Source organism: Homo sapiens, chromosome 6, assembly GCF_000001405.40.
Source record: "Homo sapiens chromosome 6, GRCh38.p14 Primary Assembly".
Lineage (NCBI taxonomy): Eukaryota > Metazoa > Chordata > Mammalia > Primates > Hominidae > Homo > Homo sapiens.
Window position 1 is genome coordinate 222,835 of NC_000006.12, and position 15,459 is coordinate 238,293.

Below are 15,459 nucleotides of genomic sequence, written 5' to 3' on the forward strand. Positions count from 1 at the left end.
CTCTCACGGACAAATCAATCAAATATCTGCAGCTTGACAACTTTAGCTCTAAAAGGGGGCACTTTTTTATCTTGTACCTTTTCTTATAAATTTTGGGATATAATTTATTTTTGGTAAAAAAAAAACTTCAGAAAGTGGTTTAGTTGAAAGCACCTTAGGCTTTCTTATTAAGAATTAAGCTGCCCATGCTATTCATACTTGTAGTTTAATTCCTCACTTATTGTTGTAATTGCAATTGGATTTTGCAACAACAGCAACAAAAGCCTCCCTGGCAAGTTCCTGGTGATTCTGGGGAAGAGGGCTTGAGCCTGAGCTGCTCTAACCTCTCCTTCAGTCCTCAGCTCCCTGCGGTCTCTCTATAGAGATATGAGACACCCCATTCCCAGTACAAGCCACTTTTCCAGCTTCACACACACGCCCTCTTGGATATGCTCCCTGTGACGGGCAACCGTTCTACTGGAAGTAATTCTGAAAAAAGCCTCTGAACCCATGAGGCCCACGTGGGGCTTACCTGGCATTCAACTGTGTTCTCCTACATGTCACCATGTCCTGTCTCCACGACTCATGTTTGATCCTCGCGGGGGCATCAGAGCTTCCTCAGCACCTAGCAAGGCCATCTGTATATGCAGTGGTGATCCCCATTTCAATGTAAATTACGACCACTCTCCACCACTGCTACCCAGGATGTTTCCCAGACTCCTTAGGTGTGTGAGGTGCAGAATCAACCAACTGGAAAGAAACACTCTTAGCCACTTTAATACTCCTCCTCCCTCTTTCTAAATTTCCTAAACCAGTTGAAAATGGGCACCTTTTCTGAGAAGCACAAGCTGTCTCTTGCCCCTTTTACAAATGTCAGTCATGTGTTGCTTAAGGACAAGGATACCTTCTGAGAAATGGGTCCTCAGGCAATTTGCTGTTGTGTGAGCATCGCAGAGTGAACTTCCACACACCCGCGTGCTATGAGCTGCTTTACACCTGGCGATATGAGACAGCCTGTCGTGCCAGGCTGAGACCTGCATGTCACTGCGCTGAGTGCTGTCGGCAATTATGACACAGTGGCGTGTGTGTATCTAAACAGAGAAAAGGTGCCGTGAAAGAACAATACGAAAGATGAACAACAGTACCTGTGCAAGGCACTTACCATGAGTGGAGCTTGCAGGACTGGCAGCTGCTCTTGTGAGTCAGTGGGTGAGTCGGGAGTGAATGTGAAGACCTAGGACATCACTATGACTACTGCAGACTTTATAAACACTGCACACGTAGGCCACACTCTCTCTCTCTACATATAAAGTATATATATGTGTGTGTGTATATATATATAATTGTGCTAAGACGTTGAGGTGGCTACAATGTCATCACATGATAGGAATTTTTCAGCTCCCTTATACTCTTACAGGACAACCATAGTATACGCTGTCTGTGGTTGGAAATGTTGTTGTGTGGCACATGACCGTATGGAAGAACAGAGAAGACCATTCAGAGCTTCATCGGAGGCAGTGGTGACCGCAGGACCCCTGCATCTGCTTCAGCCCAACCAGACATCCCTGACCCTGCCCAGCAGACCCTGACCTCCGCCACAGATAACCTGGGAGCCTGTGGGCACGGTCAGCAGGGGGCGTGGAGTCTGAGGCACATGACTCTCATGCGCCAGCCCAGTGGTGCCCGCACCTCATTCTTAGAATTTCCTGGAAGTGGCTTTGCTCTGAATGCCTGCGCTGGCATCACAGAAACAAAAGTTTCTTCCCTGGAAGGGATGGGAGCAGCAGGGGCTGGTGGAGGAGCTGCCACTGTTTTGGTCACAGAACCACGCGTTCTCCAGGTGAAAGGTAAAGCTTCAACTCTGCACAGTAATCCAGGGAAGCATCTTCTTCAACGGGACGCGAGCCGCTTTCTCCTGTCGCTGTGGGTTTCATTTGTGGCGACGTCTCTGCAACATCCATTTTTCCCTGAGTTTCTTTCTGGCCGTAGCATGCACCTTCGGGGGCTACGAAGTTCTGATGCTCAGGTACTACAGGAGATCCATTGAACTGAATCTCTGGAAGTGGGGCCCAGGCCTCTCCTTTTCAGAAGCTCAGTGTGTGCTTCTGATGTACAGCCAGAGTTTAGAGCCATCAGGCTCACCCAGTCACGGTGATACCAACTCTCCAACCAGTGACTGTTCTTGGAACATGCAGATCACTCTATTCTAGACGTGAGGCATGAGGAGAAGCCTGCAGGAAGCTTCTGGAAAGGAGTTCATCACTCCTAAGGGGAAGATAGTACCTCTCTGTCTTGTCCAGATGTGACACCTGGCAGAGCTGCCTGGAAGACACCAGTGCCCCAGGCGCCAGGTGTGTAGAGTCACAACCCTGCGTGCCGTGTCTGGAGTCTGCCCTGGCTCTGGGCTTCCTGTGGTAGGTGATGACACAATGCCTCACTCCCTAACCCTGCTTGAGGCTTGGGTGTGAGTTATTTGTAGAGAAAAACATTCTTACTCATTCCTGGGCCTGTTCCTTCTGTACCTATAGGGAAAGAGCGGAGGAACCAGGTTCCCGGTCCAGGCCCCACTTCCTGTTACGCCCTTTAGCTGATTTCCTCTGTTCCTCGCCAGATTCTAGAAGGTTTGCGAACTCTGCTCATGCAAAGTCTGGCTGCGGGGGCAGTGGAGTTGCTGGAAATCAGACTCGAATGCCACACTGCTTCAGGAAACCGAGGTGCTTTCCTCCGTGTACAGCCAGTGTGCTCCTTAGGTCTCTGCATCAGCCTGTGAGGGGGATGAGATCACCGTCCTGTTTCAGAAGAGGAAGGCGAGGCCCGGAGAGGGCGCAGGGTGCCCTGTGGCTGTGGCCACCCGGGAAGGGGCTGTGACGCCCTCGTGGTGCAGGGATGAGGGACGCTGCCTGCCTTTGCTGTCGAGCAGAGGTCTCACCCCTGCTTTGTGAGTTTCTGAGTTTCTGAGTGACCTCAGCAAAGCAGCTCAGCCTTTGAGCTCAGCTTTCTCATAGGAAAACGGGGTTGAAAAATCTTCCCCACATTTATTATGCAAAAGCAACCGACGGAGGAGCGCCTGCTGATGCTCAGCAAAATGCCGTCTGTGTGCTGCTCATCATTCCACGCCTTCACCCTGAACGCCCAGCTTCTTATCAGAGTCTAGGGGCAGCAGAGAGTGATTGAATACGCACGTGTGTCCACACTGCAGCCACGGCAAGGCCGAGAGAGGGGCTCCCCACCATGCTGGCGGCCTGGGGCCTGGACAGAGCCAACTGGGGAAAGTGCCTCGCAACAGACCAACCTGGTGAGGGAGGCGGGGGGAGCACATGGCGCAACCCACCCTCCTACCATCCACATTGCAAAGCCCCAGCGATTCCTGGGCGTCACTTTTCCACCCCCACCCACCCTGTGTCTCTGTGGCTTCGGGCGCGAGCTTGTGGGGCAGAGCCAACAGACAGAGCTGGGGACACCTGGGGCCGCTTCACAGCGAGATGCCAGACTCAGGCCTTTACCAAGCTGCGCGTCACTGGTAGAAAAGGACATTAGGAACACTAGGTAAAAAGCAAAACAAAAATAAATCTCACTTGGCATCTTTCCCATTATAGTTCAGTCGATGGTAGCTATGATTCTATTTGCCTGTGTTACTATTTACTCTGAAAGAGTGGATTTAGGCCAGAACATTTGCAGTCTGGCTGTGTAAGGCACCACAACAGTATCAATGAGCCGCCGCACTCAGGATGATTTAGCTCTCCCCATTTTCTCAGATCTCATCACCCCCAATCCTCAGCTCCCTTGTGACCAAAGGTTAGCATTCTTCACAGAGTAGTTAGTCTGTGGACTGGGGGTGAAGCGAAGCCCCTCCATTTCCTGGGTCTGGAGACCCAGGGCCTCCGAAGCTCTGGCCTGGGCCATGCAGACTTTTCATGGAAGGTGAGGGCAGGGACTTCTGACACTGAGGCCCTGAGTTGGGGCCAAAAGTTTTAGGTGAAGGGCACCATCCCCAGCAAGAATGCTCTCACTTCAGATGCCAGCTGCAAACTCCAGGGTCCCCAGGCCACCTGCACTTCTGACCAAGTCAGGGGTTCCCCTGACCCCTTCAGAGTCAATAATTCACCAGAATGACTCTCAGAACTCCGGAAAGTGCTACATGTATGATGACAGTGTTATTACAAAGGACACAGCTCAGGACCAGCCAAAGGAAGAGACAGCAGGACACAGTCCAGGAGGGCCTGGAAGGCAGAGCTTCCATGTGCTCAAGACCGGTCACCCTCCCACTACATCCATGCGTTCACCACCTGGAAGCTCCACCAAGCTTTGGGGCCAGAGCTTCCACTTGGGTTTCATGACATACTCGTGATTGATTGAATCACTGGCCTGATGGTTGAACTTCATCTCCAGCCACCTCCCTTCCCTAGAGGTCAGGCTCAGAGCCCTGATCCTCTGGTGACACGTGGGTCTTTCCTGTAAGACCGTCACCCGTCCTGAAACCACGCAGGCCCCCACCGTGAGTGACCTGTTAGCATAAATTATCAGGGCCCACCATGAATAGCAGAGACACTCCCATCACTTGGGAAATTGTAAGGCTTTAGAGAGCCTCTCCCAGAAGATGGAGACAAAGGCCAGCATGAGTCCTCATCACACAGGAGGAGTGTGGGTGTCGTGAGTGTGAGCGGTCTTGCTCACACAGGCACATGCCTCTGTTCTCTAGAGACAAAAACCACAGCTCCTTAGCATTTCATGCGAAGCCTGCCATCCACTGGCCTCATCCCTCGTTGCCTAACGTGGGGCTTTTTCTGCAAGGCCGGTGCTCGCTGTCCTCCTCAGGGAAATTCTCACCAGCTCCCTGGAGCATGGCTGTCATTCGATCTTTGGTGTAAACAGCATTCGACAGGCTTCTGTAATCATAATTATCATGACATAATTGTAACTTTTCTTCTCAATACAGTCCTTTTCTCCATTCGATTAAAGTGATATTTTGCTTACAAGTAACAAAAACCTGGCTTAAAGCACAAGGACATTTCTAGTTTACTTAAGTCCAGAGATAGCTGGTCCCAAGGTATTTCGGCCACTCAGGCCACTGAGAACCAGGTTATTTCTGTTCTGTCATCCCTAGAGAGTTGGGCTGTCTACCGAGCAGTCACTGTTTAACATGGACATAGGCGGCAGCTGCCTGGGAAAGCACCATGTGTTTTCACAACGGGGTTCCAGGTTCGCAAGAGAAGGACTTTCTGCTCTTGCACCTCTCTCCCTTATGGGGGGGAAATATTTCTGGGCAGCCCCAGCAGACATCCTACTGGATGACAGGGTCTCTCCTGGCATTCTCCCCTGGCAAGGGGAGTGTGTGGGTGCCTCTGTTTGGGCCATTCCTCAGAGCGACTGTATTGTTCCCTGAACATAATCAGGCTGCCCCGCAGGATGGTGGTGGGAATGGCTGGTGAGCCTTTGACACTGCGAGGTTGTAGAATGTGTTCTAAAACAACAGAGAGGCATCAGAGCACGAGGAGGGAGGGAGGGAAGGAAGAAACAGGCAATGGTGGGAATGAGGAGCAAAGGAAACAAGAAAGAAAGATTTAAATCAGGCAGGAACACCAGGTCCTAGCGTGTAGGTACTTTTTAAGATGGAATGTACTTTACAACTAAACCCTATGTCAGATTCATGTTCATTTATCATGACTTCATTATATGCTGTAGTAGCTTAGTAGTTTTCAAAACTTTTTGTTTTTTTGAGACAGGGTCTTGCTCTGGAGTGCAGTGGCACAATCTTGGCTCACTGCAACCTCCGCCTCCTGGGTTCAAGCAATTCTCCTGTCTCAGCCTCCTGAGTAGCTGGGACTACAGGCGCCCACCACCACGCCTGGCTAATTTTTGCATTTTGAGTAGAGATGGGGTTTCACTACATTGGTCAGGCTGGTCTCCAACTCCTGACCTCAGGTGATCCACTCTCCTCGGCCTCCCAAAGTGCTGGGATTACAAGCGTGAGCCACCGCGACTGGCAGTTTTCAATCTTTTTGAAGCAAGCAAATTTTATATTAAAAAAAAAAAAACATTGGTTTTTTGGTGTGTGTGTGTGTGTGTTTTTTTTTTATCATTTGATAGGTCAATATAAAACAAAGGCAATCCATTTTCCACCCAGAAGTGACTTATACCACATGCTTTGTCTAAGCCTTCATTTGCTCTTGGGAAAAATGTTCCTCATCTTTCTAGAATGAAGAGAAGTACTTTCTTTGGAGATTGACAGGGGCCAGAACAAAGTTAAATAATGTACTCCTGGAAATGCAATTTTGTCAAAGGAGTAACTTCTCTCAGTCCTCAACGCGTGCAGTCATTACACAAGTGCTCGGCAGAGTCAGGGAGTCTCAGCATCGTTCTAGAAAGCCCAGATTGACCGCCTTCCTTCCACTATGCCTGGGCTGGCGGGAGGGCAGGACTAAGTGGCGGGATTGCACCCCTCCCCGCAATGTCTAAAAGTGGAGCCGGGCTCAGCCAGGCAGTGGGTGGGGGTGTGTGGGTCTCAGCCAGTTTCAATGGTTTTGACAATGAAACTCACCTGGGTGTGTGTTATTTGGCTTTGTTCTTCAGATTTAGACCCTCTCCTAAGTCAAATTGAAACTCCCCGAACTGGTATCCTATAAGAGCTGACCCTTATAGTAATGTGTGCTTCGAATCATGTGAACTGAAACCTGTGGACTTCCCACAGCCCAGCAGGACCCACCTTCCCAAGCAGCAAACCCTGGAGCCTCGAGCTGACACGTCAGTCCTTGTGCTTCGTGCACATTTAGAAGGAACTTCAGACAAACTTCATTCACTTCAAACTCTGTCCCCTTGGAGCCTCGAGCTGACATGTCAGTCCTTGTGCTTCGTGTAGATTTAGAAGGAACTTCAGACAAACTTCATTCACTTCAAACTCTGTCCCCTTGGAGCCTCAAGCTGACACGTCAGTCTTTGTGCTTCGTGCAGATTTAGAAGGAAATCCAGACAAACTTCATTCACTTCAAACCCTGTCCCCTTAACCTATTTCCAGTATCCAGAGGTAAAGCAAATCCTTCAATGTGATGCCCAAATAAAACTATAAATATACATATGTAATATATACAAATACAGAAAAATATATACATACATATGTGCACACATGTCTATATGTTTGCATGTATGTATATGATATTGAATCACGCTTTTTCATTTAATAACATGACTTGCAGAACCTTCCACCTGCATATTTAGTTCATATCACTTTATTCTATTTAATAGCTGCAAAACCTCGATCCAGTCTCTTCTATTTGTTGATACGAGGGCTCAGCCCCCCACCCACCCCTCATTTTTTTGGCCTTGTTAATGATGCAATTAATGTTGATAGATAGATAGATAGATAGATAGACAGACAGACAGACAGACAGACAGATAGATAGATAGAGATATGTAGAAAGATATCTATGTATCTCTATGTATCTATTTTTATATGTACTTAAAAACAAATATCTGTAGAGTGAGTTGCCTGAAAAAGGATAAGTGTATTTTCACAGGAATTACCTATTGCCCGCCAAAATTGTTGTCCAACTCAGCCTCTCACCAGTGGTGCAGGAGACTGGTAAACCTCACCAATGCTGGGTTTTATTAAGCTTCATTTATTGCCAATGCTATGTAAATAGCCAGTTATACAGCACTAGTATTTTGCTTTCCATTTCCTTAATCAGGAGTGTAACTGAGAAATCTGTCTCATGTTTGATGGTCAAGAACTGGCTTTTGAGAGTCTCTATTTTTCAATAGAATATTTCCCCTTTTCTTTACTGATATGACAAAGCTCTCTTTACAATAAGCAAAGACACCTATGGTTGGTCACCTGCCTTGCAAAACTTTCCTAAGTATATTGTTTCTCTTTTGGTTTTCTGTATTTTATATGTAAAAGGTTAGGCTTTTTGTGAAATTTGGTAATAAATGTTATTACTTCTGGCATTCCTGGCCTCTTTCATCATGACTATTTTTTCAATCACTCATCTTTTTTTAGCCCTCATGATTCCAGCTCCTTTTAACATATGACACCGCTTTTGAAAGATGGTGGTTGCTAATCCTGAAGCCGTTGACTCCCCAGATGACGTTCCCGTGAAACGCTTGGCAGTTGCAAGAGGAACTCGGGTCCTCAGTGCCGTTTACCAAGGCCGACAAAGTCCAGCGGCATTATCGTGTCATCGTGACATCGGTATTTGACTGTGGAAGCTGAAAGCCCGTTAGATAATTACATAAACATTCATGGCAAGAAATACTGTTTCCTTATTTCTTATTTTTATTTTTTTTTTGAGACGGAGTCTCGCTCTGTCGCCCAGGCTGGAGTGCGGTGGCGCGATCTCGGCTCACTGCAAGCTCCGCCTCCCGGGTTCACAGCATTCTCCTGCCTCAGCCTCCAAAGTAGCTGGGCCTACAGGCGCCCGCCACCATGCCCGGCTAATTTTTTTGTATTTTTTAGTGGAGATGGGGTTTCACCGTGTTAGCCAGGATGGTCTTGATCTCCTGACCTCGTGATCCGCCCGCCTCAGCCTCCCAAAGTGTTGGGACTACAGGCGTGAGCCACCGCGCCTGGCTGTTTCCTTATTTTTTATTATGAAAGATTCCTGGGCTGTTGCAGTCCTATTTATACCTATAATTTCTCTTATTCAACTGCAGTGTCCTTGCCTTCTTGTTTAATTGGGGTAATACTCCTTTCACTGAAATACTTTGGAGGAGTGTTGTAAAGTCTGCTGAGAAAATTTCTGTGAAAAGTTTTAAAGATATTGGGGGCAGTGTCTGCCAAACAGATTCTTCTCTGATGCCCTGGGCCCAGCCTTCTGTTTCTGTTTTCATTGATAATTTGTCGTTTCTTTTGAGAATGTTTCAAGTCAAGATAAAGATCACTGTGATGGGAACATTTATCTCCTCAATCACACCAGATACTACATTACTTTTTATTTACTTTTCTATAATTTCCATTCTTATGTAATGAACACTTAATAATTTTACATGTTCAAAAACGATGGATGTGGGAAAAGATCAAATAACGATAGTGTGAAAATTCAACTTTTGTTGAGCAACCAGGAAAGATCCCTGGGTTTACTGATTTTGAAACCAGTGTGGGAGGGTGAGAACATGAGAGATACCCTATGCAGAATCATGAACTGATCAGGGACCCTACAGAGATCATTTGGTCTGACACCTTTTCTCTATTCACATGAAACAAAGGCCTGGATCCTTGATCAGGGTCACTCAGTAAAGTAGTGAACAAGCTCCCGTGAAAGCCCAGGCCCTCCCATTTTCAGTAGGGTGTTCCCTATTCTACCACGTTCCTCCTCTTGTATAAACTAACACTCTGCTTTAAGTATGTTTAGAAACCTGTAGTCTATAGCAGCGGTCCTCAACCTTTTTGGCACCAGGGACCAGTTTCATGGAAGACAATTTTTCCACGGACTGGGGCAGGGGAGGGGGATGGTTTCCGGGTGATTCAAGTGCATTCCATTTATCGTGCACTTTATTTCTATTGTTATTATCATATTGTAATATATAATGAAATAATTATACAACTCACCATAATGTAGAATCAGTGGGAGCCCCGAGCTTGTTTTCCTGCAACTAGATGGTCCCATCTGGGGGTGATGGGAGACAGTGACAGATCATCAGGCATTAGATTCTCATAAGGAGCGTGCAACTTAGATCCCTTGCATGCACAGTTCACAGTAGGGTTTGTGCTCCTATGAGACTCTGATGCTGATGCTGATCTGACAGGAACTAAGGCAGTAAAATGTGAGTGATGGGGAGTGGCTGTAAATACATATGAAGCTTCACCCACTCACCCACCGCTCACCTCCTGCTGTGCAGCCTGGTTCCTAACAGGCCATAGACCGCTAGCTACCATCCATGCCCTGGGGGTTGGGGATGCCTGGTCTACAGTGAAGTAAATATCCTAGTTCCCTTGAGAAGGAGTCTCCATTAATGTGGAGTCATAGAGCTTTTTGGAGGAGCTGTGGACCTGCCCCCTCAGTTCCAGCTACACAGCTGCTCAGGGCCTGTTTGGCACTTGCCATACTCCTGTCCCAGGACAGGATCCCACAGTGGTAACAAAGGCTGCCGATCACTGAGCAACTACGACGTGTGCTGGGCAGGAGCTCTGTTGCTTCTAATTCTCACAACAATGCTGCAAAGGAGGGATTGTTCACTCCATTCTGTGATGAGGATATTGTATGGGTTGTGCCGTGTCCTCTAAAAAGGGAAGTCCTTACCCCAATACCTCAGAATGTGACCTTATCTGGAAATAGGGTCATTGCTGATGTAGTTAGTGAAGCTAAGATGAGGTCATGCTGGAGGAGAGTGGGCCTCACTCCGTAGGGCTGGTGTCCTTCTAAGGAGAGGACACAGACCCACAGAGGGAAGTCCATGTGATGACACAGGCAGAGATGCAGTGACGCGTCTGCAAGGTGGGAGCACCGAGGGTTGCCAGCCACCACCACAAGCGCAGTGAGAGGACGACTCTGCCAGCACCGTGGTCTGGGGCTGCCGGCCTCCAGGACTGGGAAATAATACACATCTGTTGCTTTAAGCACCCAGTGTGTGGCAGTTTGTTGAGGACGACCATGGGAAACAGATTCAGATGCTGAAGCTCGTAAAGTAGAAGACATGCCCAGAGCCACTCAGCCAACAGGCAGGTTCAGCCAGGGCTCAAATGGAGGTCTTCCTGGTTCCAAAAGAATTGCGTTTCTTCTCTACTCCACATGGCCCATCTCATCCCAGATGACCAGGGGAGACACTTGATGGCAAGGCCAACCACTGCTACCCCAGGGAAGAAAACAGAGAGAGGCAGAGGGAGGAGAGAGCCTAGGAGAGCGCCCTTCCTTTGCTGAGCTTGGCAGCTGTGCAGGCAGCCTGGCCCAAAGCAATAATTATCACAAAGCATAACCACAGCTCCAATGTATAGCCAAGAAATCTCTATCTTAGGAATACAAAGTGAGTGAGACAAGGCTTAAAAATAATATTAGTAATAATAATAATATCAAATAATATCAGAATAACCCTTCCAAGTGTGCTTTGCAAACAGCTTCTTTTTTTTTTTTTTTTTTTTTTTGAGACAGAGTCTTGCTCTGTCGCCCAGGCTGGAGTGCAGTATTGTAATCTCGGCTTACTGCAACCTCTCCCTCCCGGGTTCAAGCAATTCTGCTGCCTCAGCCTCCTGAGTAGCTGGGATTACAGGTGCATGCCACCATGCCTGGCTAATTTTTGTATTTTTAGTAGACAAGGGGTTTCACTATATTGGCCATGCTGGTCTTGAACACCTAACCTCGTGATCTGCCCACATCAGCCTCCAAAGTGCTGGGATGACAGGCGTGAGCCACCACACCAGGCCGAAAACATTGTCTTGTTTTAAGAGTTGTCACTTTGGCCAGGTGAGGTGGCTCATGCCTGTAATCCCAGCACCTTGGGAGGCCGAGGTGGGCAGATCATGAGGTCAGGAATTCGAGACCAGCCTAGCCAACATGGTGAAACCCCATCTCTACTAAAAAAATACAAAAATTAGCTGGGTGCGGTGGCGTGTGCCTGTAATCCCAGCTACTTGGGAGGCTGAGGCAGGAGAATTGCTTGAACCCAGGAGGCAGAGGTTGCAGTGCGTGGAGATCACGCCACTGCACTCCAGCCTGAGTGACAGAGCAAAATTCCGTCTCGGAATTGTCACTTTTTGAGACAGTCACGGCGAATGTCACTGAGCCTGAGCAAATGCTGCTCCTTGCCAGGCTTTCTCATATGCAGGGTCTGAGGCTCAGAGGGTAAGAAACTTTCCAAAGACGCACAGCAGAGGACTGGGGATCTGGATGCTGACCTATAGGATTGAGTCCATGCCTTGTGCTGCCCTAACAGAAAGTCCTGGGAAGGGCTGAGCTCAGGATACAAGCTTTACTAGGTGCAATAAATAGGTCACTGCTGGGCTGGTTCTCCTGAGGTCTCACTATCAGCTTTGGAGAAGATGCCTTTGTTCTTTCTGACTTTTGGCCCAGGAATCTTTATTAACTACTGTGATCAGGAGAAAGAGCCTGTGACAAATTGGAGGGTTGCCTATGGGGCCTCTAGGTTGCAGGGACAGAGAGATGTGTAGAGACTGAGGGAAGCAAAGGTGCATGGGGGTGAAGGTGGTACCTCTCCCTCTGCTGGTAAACAAGAACAGCCCCTCCACAACAGCCTCCCTTCCAGATGCCTGGGGTTTGCTGCTTGGAACCAAGCACCGTAGTCATCTCCTCTCCCCTGCCCTTCCTGTTCCTCTGAAGCTGAAGTCACTTCCCTGGATGATGCCTGGATAGAAGCAGGTGAGAGGGGAAAGTGCCTTGGGTGGAGGGAAACTTGTGAGATGAAAGAGGCCTCCTGAGGGGCTGTCAATCATCTAGGGCAATCTTTTTCTTTTTCTCTCTCTCTCTTTTTATTTTAATTAAGATGGAGTCTCGCTCTGTCACCTAGGCTGGAGTGCAGTGGTGAGATCTCAGCTCACTGCAACCTCTGCCACCCGGGTTCAAGTAATTCTCCTGCCTTAGCCTCCCAAGTAGCTGGAATTACAGGCACATACCACCACACCCAGCTAATTTTTGTATTTTTAGTGGAGATGGGGTTTCACCATGTTGGCCAGGCTGGTCTCAAACTCCCAACCTCAGGTGATCCGCCCACCTTGGCCTCCCGAAGTGCTGGGATTACAGGCAAGAGCCACCGAGCCCAGCCTTGAGGGTGATCTTTATCCTTTCCCAAGTTCAGTGAGTTGTACTCAAATCCCTCCTCAGAAATCCTCTTCATAAGAAGTCTCTATTTCATCCCATGCCCCCAGTCCTTTCCTCAGTGAGCCCAGATAGGCCTAGAACTGTGAGTCAGGATTTCTTCCAAAAGGATGAAAGTTTTGATGAGTGAAGTAAATATTTTCCCAATCAAAATGAAAAGTAAGAAAAGAAGAAGAGAAAGGAGAGGAAGAAAGAAAGAGAGAGAGAGAGAGAAAGAAAAAGAAAGAAAGAAAGAAAGAAAGAAAGGAAGGAAGGAAGGAAGGAAGGAAGAAGGAGAGAAAGAGAAGAAAGAAGAGAGAGAGGGAGAGGAGGGAAGGGGAGGGGGAGGTAAAGGGACAAACTAAAAGGAAAACAGAGGGGAGGGAGAGAAAGGAAAAAGTTTGGAAACTTCCTAGGATGAGCTGACTTCCCTCTAGCTGTCCTGCTCCCTCTCCCTCTTCCTCTCCCTCTCCCTCTGCCTCTTCCCTCCCCCCATCTGTCTCTCACTCTTGCTTTTGTTCTTGTGCTTGCTCTCTCCCCGTCTCTCTTTCACTTTCTCTTTTGTTCTTGCTCTCTCTGTCTCTCTCTCTCCACCTCATTTTCCACTTTTTCACATACCATGAAGCAGAAAAGAAACTTATCTTGAAAAGATTCATCCAGGACGAGGTGTCACCCACACACTGATGACTGTTGGGGGCAGGGTGGTTAATTCTTTCACAGAGAGAAACTTCTCTCTGGGGAGAGCAGAGAGAGAAGAGGTGGAATTTTTTACTCACAGAGACTGACAAGATAAAATTAGAGAATTTGGGTCTAGAAGGCCAAGCAGTAAAAATAAATATGGAAAGAACATCCTCATGGAATGTTCCACAACCTGCGTCCTTCCCAACCCTACTGCCTTCTCTCCATGGCCCTGGAAGCTCATGTCTAGGGGGAGTTTTATCTGGGGCAGTAATGGAGAGAAGGAGGTTCTAAAAAGAACGGTTACCATCACGTAGGAGTTTTGTATTTCGGACCTCAAATCTGTGTGGACAATAACTGGAACCCTTTTGATATTCAATAACTGAAATTTATTTCTCCTTTAGTGCCCATTTCACCTGTTGGCAGAAGCTTGTTTTTAGCCACATCAGGCTCTCTAGCCCTCCCCACCCAGGACTTTGCTGACTCAAAGGCCGGATTGCTCTGTCCACAGTCTCCAGCACCCCCCGCTCCCTCTCTTGCTGGAGCCATGCTGGGTACCCAGAAACCTCATGCCCAGTCTTGGCCCATCTTCCCAAATTACTATTTCCATTTTTTCTTTCCTGGTAATTTCTTTACCCTGTAGCCATCCCCCCATTACTACTGTACCTCGAGTCCCCTGGGGCTTCAGAGAAAGTCTGCTAACAACAGAAAAGGCAGAAGCCCTGAGCCCGCATCACTCTGATCCTAAAGGAGGAGGAGAGCTCCTTAGTGGCTGCAGCCTGTTTAACTTTTGTCTGCTTTCACATGACTTCAGGACTCTGAAAGATCAAGCAAAAACCAGGATCTTGGCACAGAACAAAAGTGAAATGGCATTTTTGCCCAAATATTAATAAACGCAAATGCACACCCCTGTTGTCCCTGTTGGACATGCTGGGGGACCGTGGATTTTCTCAGTCACTAATGGGAGAAATGTAAATGATAATCAGATCTTGTGGTGGGTAACTTGGTGATTGGTGTCACAAATCTTAAAACTTTTGAGCACTTATCACTTCTGCTTGGAAGAATTATAATCCTGTGCAAAAAATTGCATATGCACCTAAAATATATGTAGAGAATATTTATTTAAGTATTGCTTAAATATTAGTTAATAATTCAACACAATCTGAAAGTCCCCAAATAGGGGATTGGCTGAATGTATTAGGGTACTTCCATAAAATGGAGGAAACATGCAGCCATGAAAGTTTGCTGTACATGATATTTCACCATATTAAAAAATCAATGATATATTGCTAAGTGCAAAATGCAATTTTTTTTTTTGAGACGGAGTCTCGCTTTGTTACCCAGGCTGGAGTGTAGTGGCACGATCTTGGCTCACTGCAAGCTCCGCCTCCCGGGTTCAAGCGATTCTCCTGCTTCAGCCTCCCGAGTAGCTGGGATTACAGGCACCTGCCACCACGTCCAGCTAATTTTTGTATTTTTAGTAGAGACGGGGTTTCACCATGTTGGTCAGGCTGGTCCCCAACTCTTGACCTCAAGTGATCCATCCTCCTCGGCCTCCCAAAGTGCTGGGATTACAGGGGTGAGCCACTGCGCCCGGCCTATTCTTTTCTTTTCATCAAATTTTTTTCTCCCACAGAAAGCCCAATAGAAAACAGCACAGTGTTAAGCCTTCTTGGCTATACAAGCTCGAAGAATACTTCACAGAAATGAAAAACCATTTGTGTTCCACACCTACCCAGGCTGGTAATGAGACAGGTGTTTTGTTTGTAGCTGAAAGTTAAAGATTATACCTCTTGCTGAATTCGAAATGAGTTCACCAAAAAACAAAGCAAAACCTTCCAAAACAAACAAAAGATCCACCACGCCCCATGTGTTGTTTCAGTAAATCCACTTTCTTGCTGACTGTCTCGCTCCTCCTCATTGTTCTTCCTATAAAATGGATCACTTGGCCCACAAGCACATGAGCCAAACAGATCTTAATGATCACTGGCGACATTGAAATCCAAGAACACAGGAGCTGTTGAAGCCTGAGACCAAATCTGGGAAGGGAGAATTGAAAAGGACA

At 47.5% G+C, this 15,459-nt stretch overlaps 1 long non-coding RNA gene across 2 annotated transcripts, besides 7 other annotated features; it reads left to right on the plus strand.

Annotated features, from left to right (window-relative positions):
- Positions 2,601–2,760: an enhancer, noted in NCBI's record as "active region_23807". NCBI's record gives its function as "activates an Ori minimal core promoter by ATAC-STARR-seq in GM12878 lymphoblastoid cells {active_cell/tissue: GM12878}" and the evidence as "EXISTENCE:reporter gene assay evidence [ECO:0000049][PMID:35858748]".
- Positions 2,821–2,870: an enhancer, noted in NCBI's record as "active region_23808". NCBI's record gives its function as "activates an Ori minimal core promoter by ATAC-STARR-seq in GM12878 lymphoblastoid cells {active_cell/tissue: GM12878}" and the evidence as "EXISTENCE:reporter gene assay evidence [ECO:0000049][PMID:35858748]".
- Positions 4,166–4,225: an enhancer, noted in NCBI's record as "active region_23809". NCBI's record gives its function as "activates an Ori minimal core promoter by ATAC-STARR-seq in GM12878 lymphoblastoid cells {active_cell/tissue: GM12878}" and the evidence as "EXISTENCE:reporter gene assay evidence [ECO:0000049][PMID:35858748]".
- Positions 4,786–4,915: an enhancer, noted in NCBI's record as "active region_23810". NCBI's record gives its function as "activates an Ori minimal core promoter by ATAC-STARR-seq in GM12878 lymphoblastoid cells {active_cell/tissue: GM12878}" and the evidence as "EXISTENCE:reporter gene assay evidence [ECO:0000049][PMID:35858748]".
- Positions 4,926–5,045: an enhancer, noted in NCBI's record as "active region_23811". NCBI's record gives its function as "activates an Ori minimal core promoter by ATAC-STARR-seq in GM12878 lymphoblastoid cells {active_cell/tissue: GM12878}" and the evidence as "EXISTENCE:reporter gene assay evidence [ECO:0000049][PMID:35858748]".
- Positions 5,056–5,115: an enhancer, noted in NCBI's record as "active region_23812". NCBI's record gives its function as "activates an Ori minimal core promoter by ATAC-STARR-seq in GM12878 lymphoblastoid cells {active_cell/tissue: GM12878}" and the evidence as "EXISTENCE:reporter gene assay evidence [ECO:0000049][PMID:35858748]".
- Positions 8,096–14,300, plus strand: LOC105374870 (uncharacterized). Of its 2 annotated transcripts, none has more exons than XR_926357.3 (3): positions 8,096–8,164; positions 12,169–12,281; positions 13,799–14,300. It is a non-coding gene; the product is annotated as an uncharacterized LOC105374870 (long non-coding RNA). The 2 variants fall into 2 exon arrangements; XR_926356.3 differs by having other exon boundaries at positions 8,109–8,164; positions 12,157–12,281.
- Positions 13,200–13,289: an enhancer, noted in NCBI's record as "active region_23813". NCBI's record gives its function as "activates an Ori minimal core promoter by ATAC-STARR-seq in GM12878 lymphoblastoid cells {active_cell/tissue: GM12878}" and the evidence as "EXISTENCE:reporter gene assay evidence [ECO:0000049][PMID:35858748]".
- Positions 14,301–15,459: the final 1,159 nt, after the last annotated feature.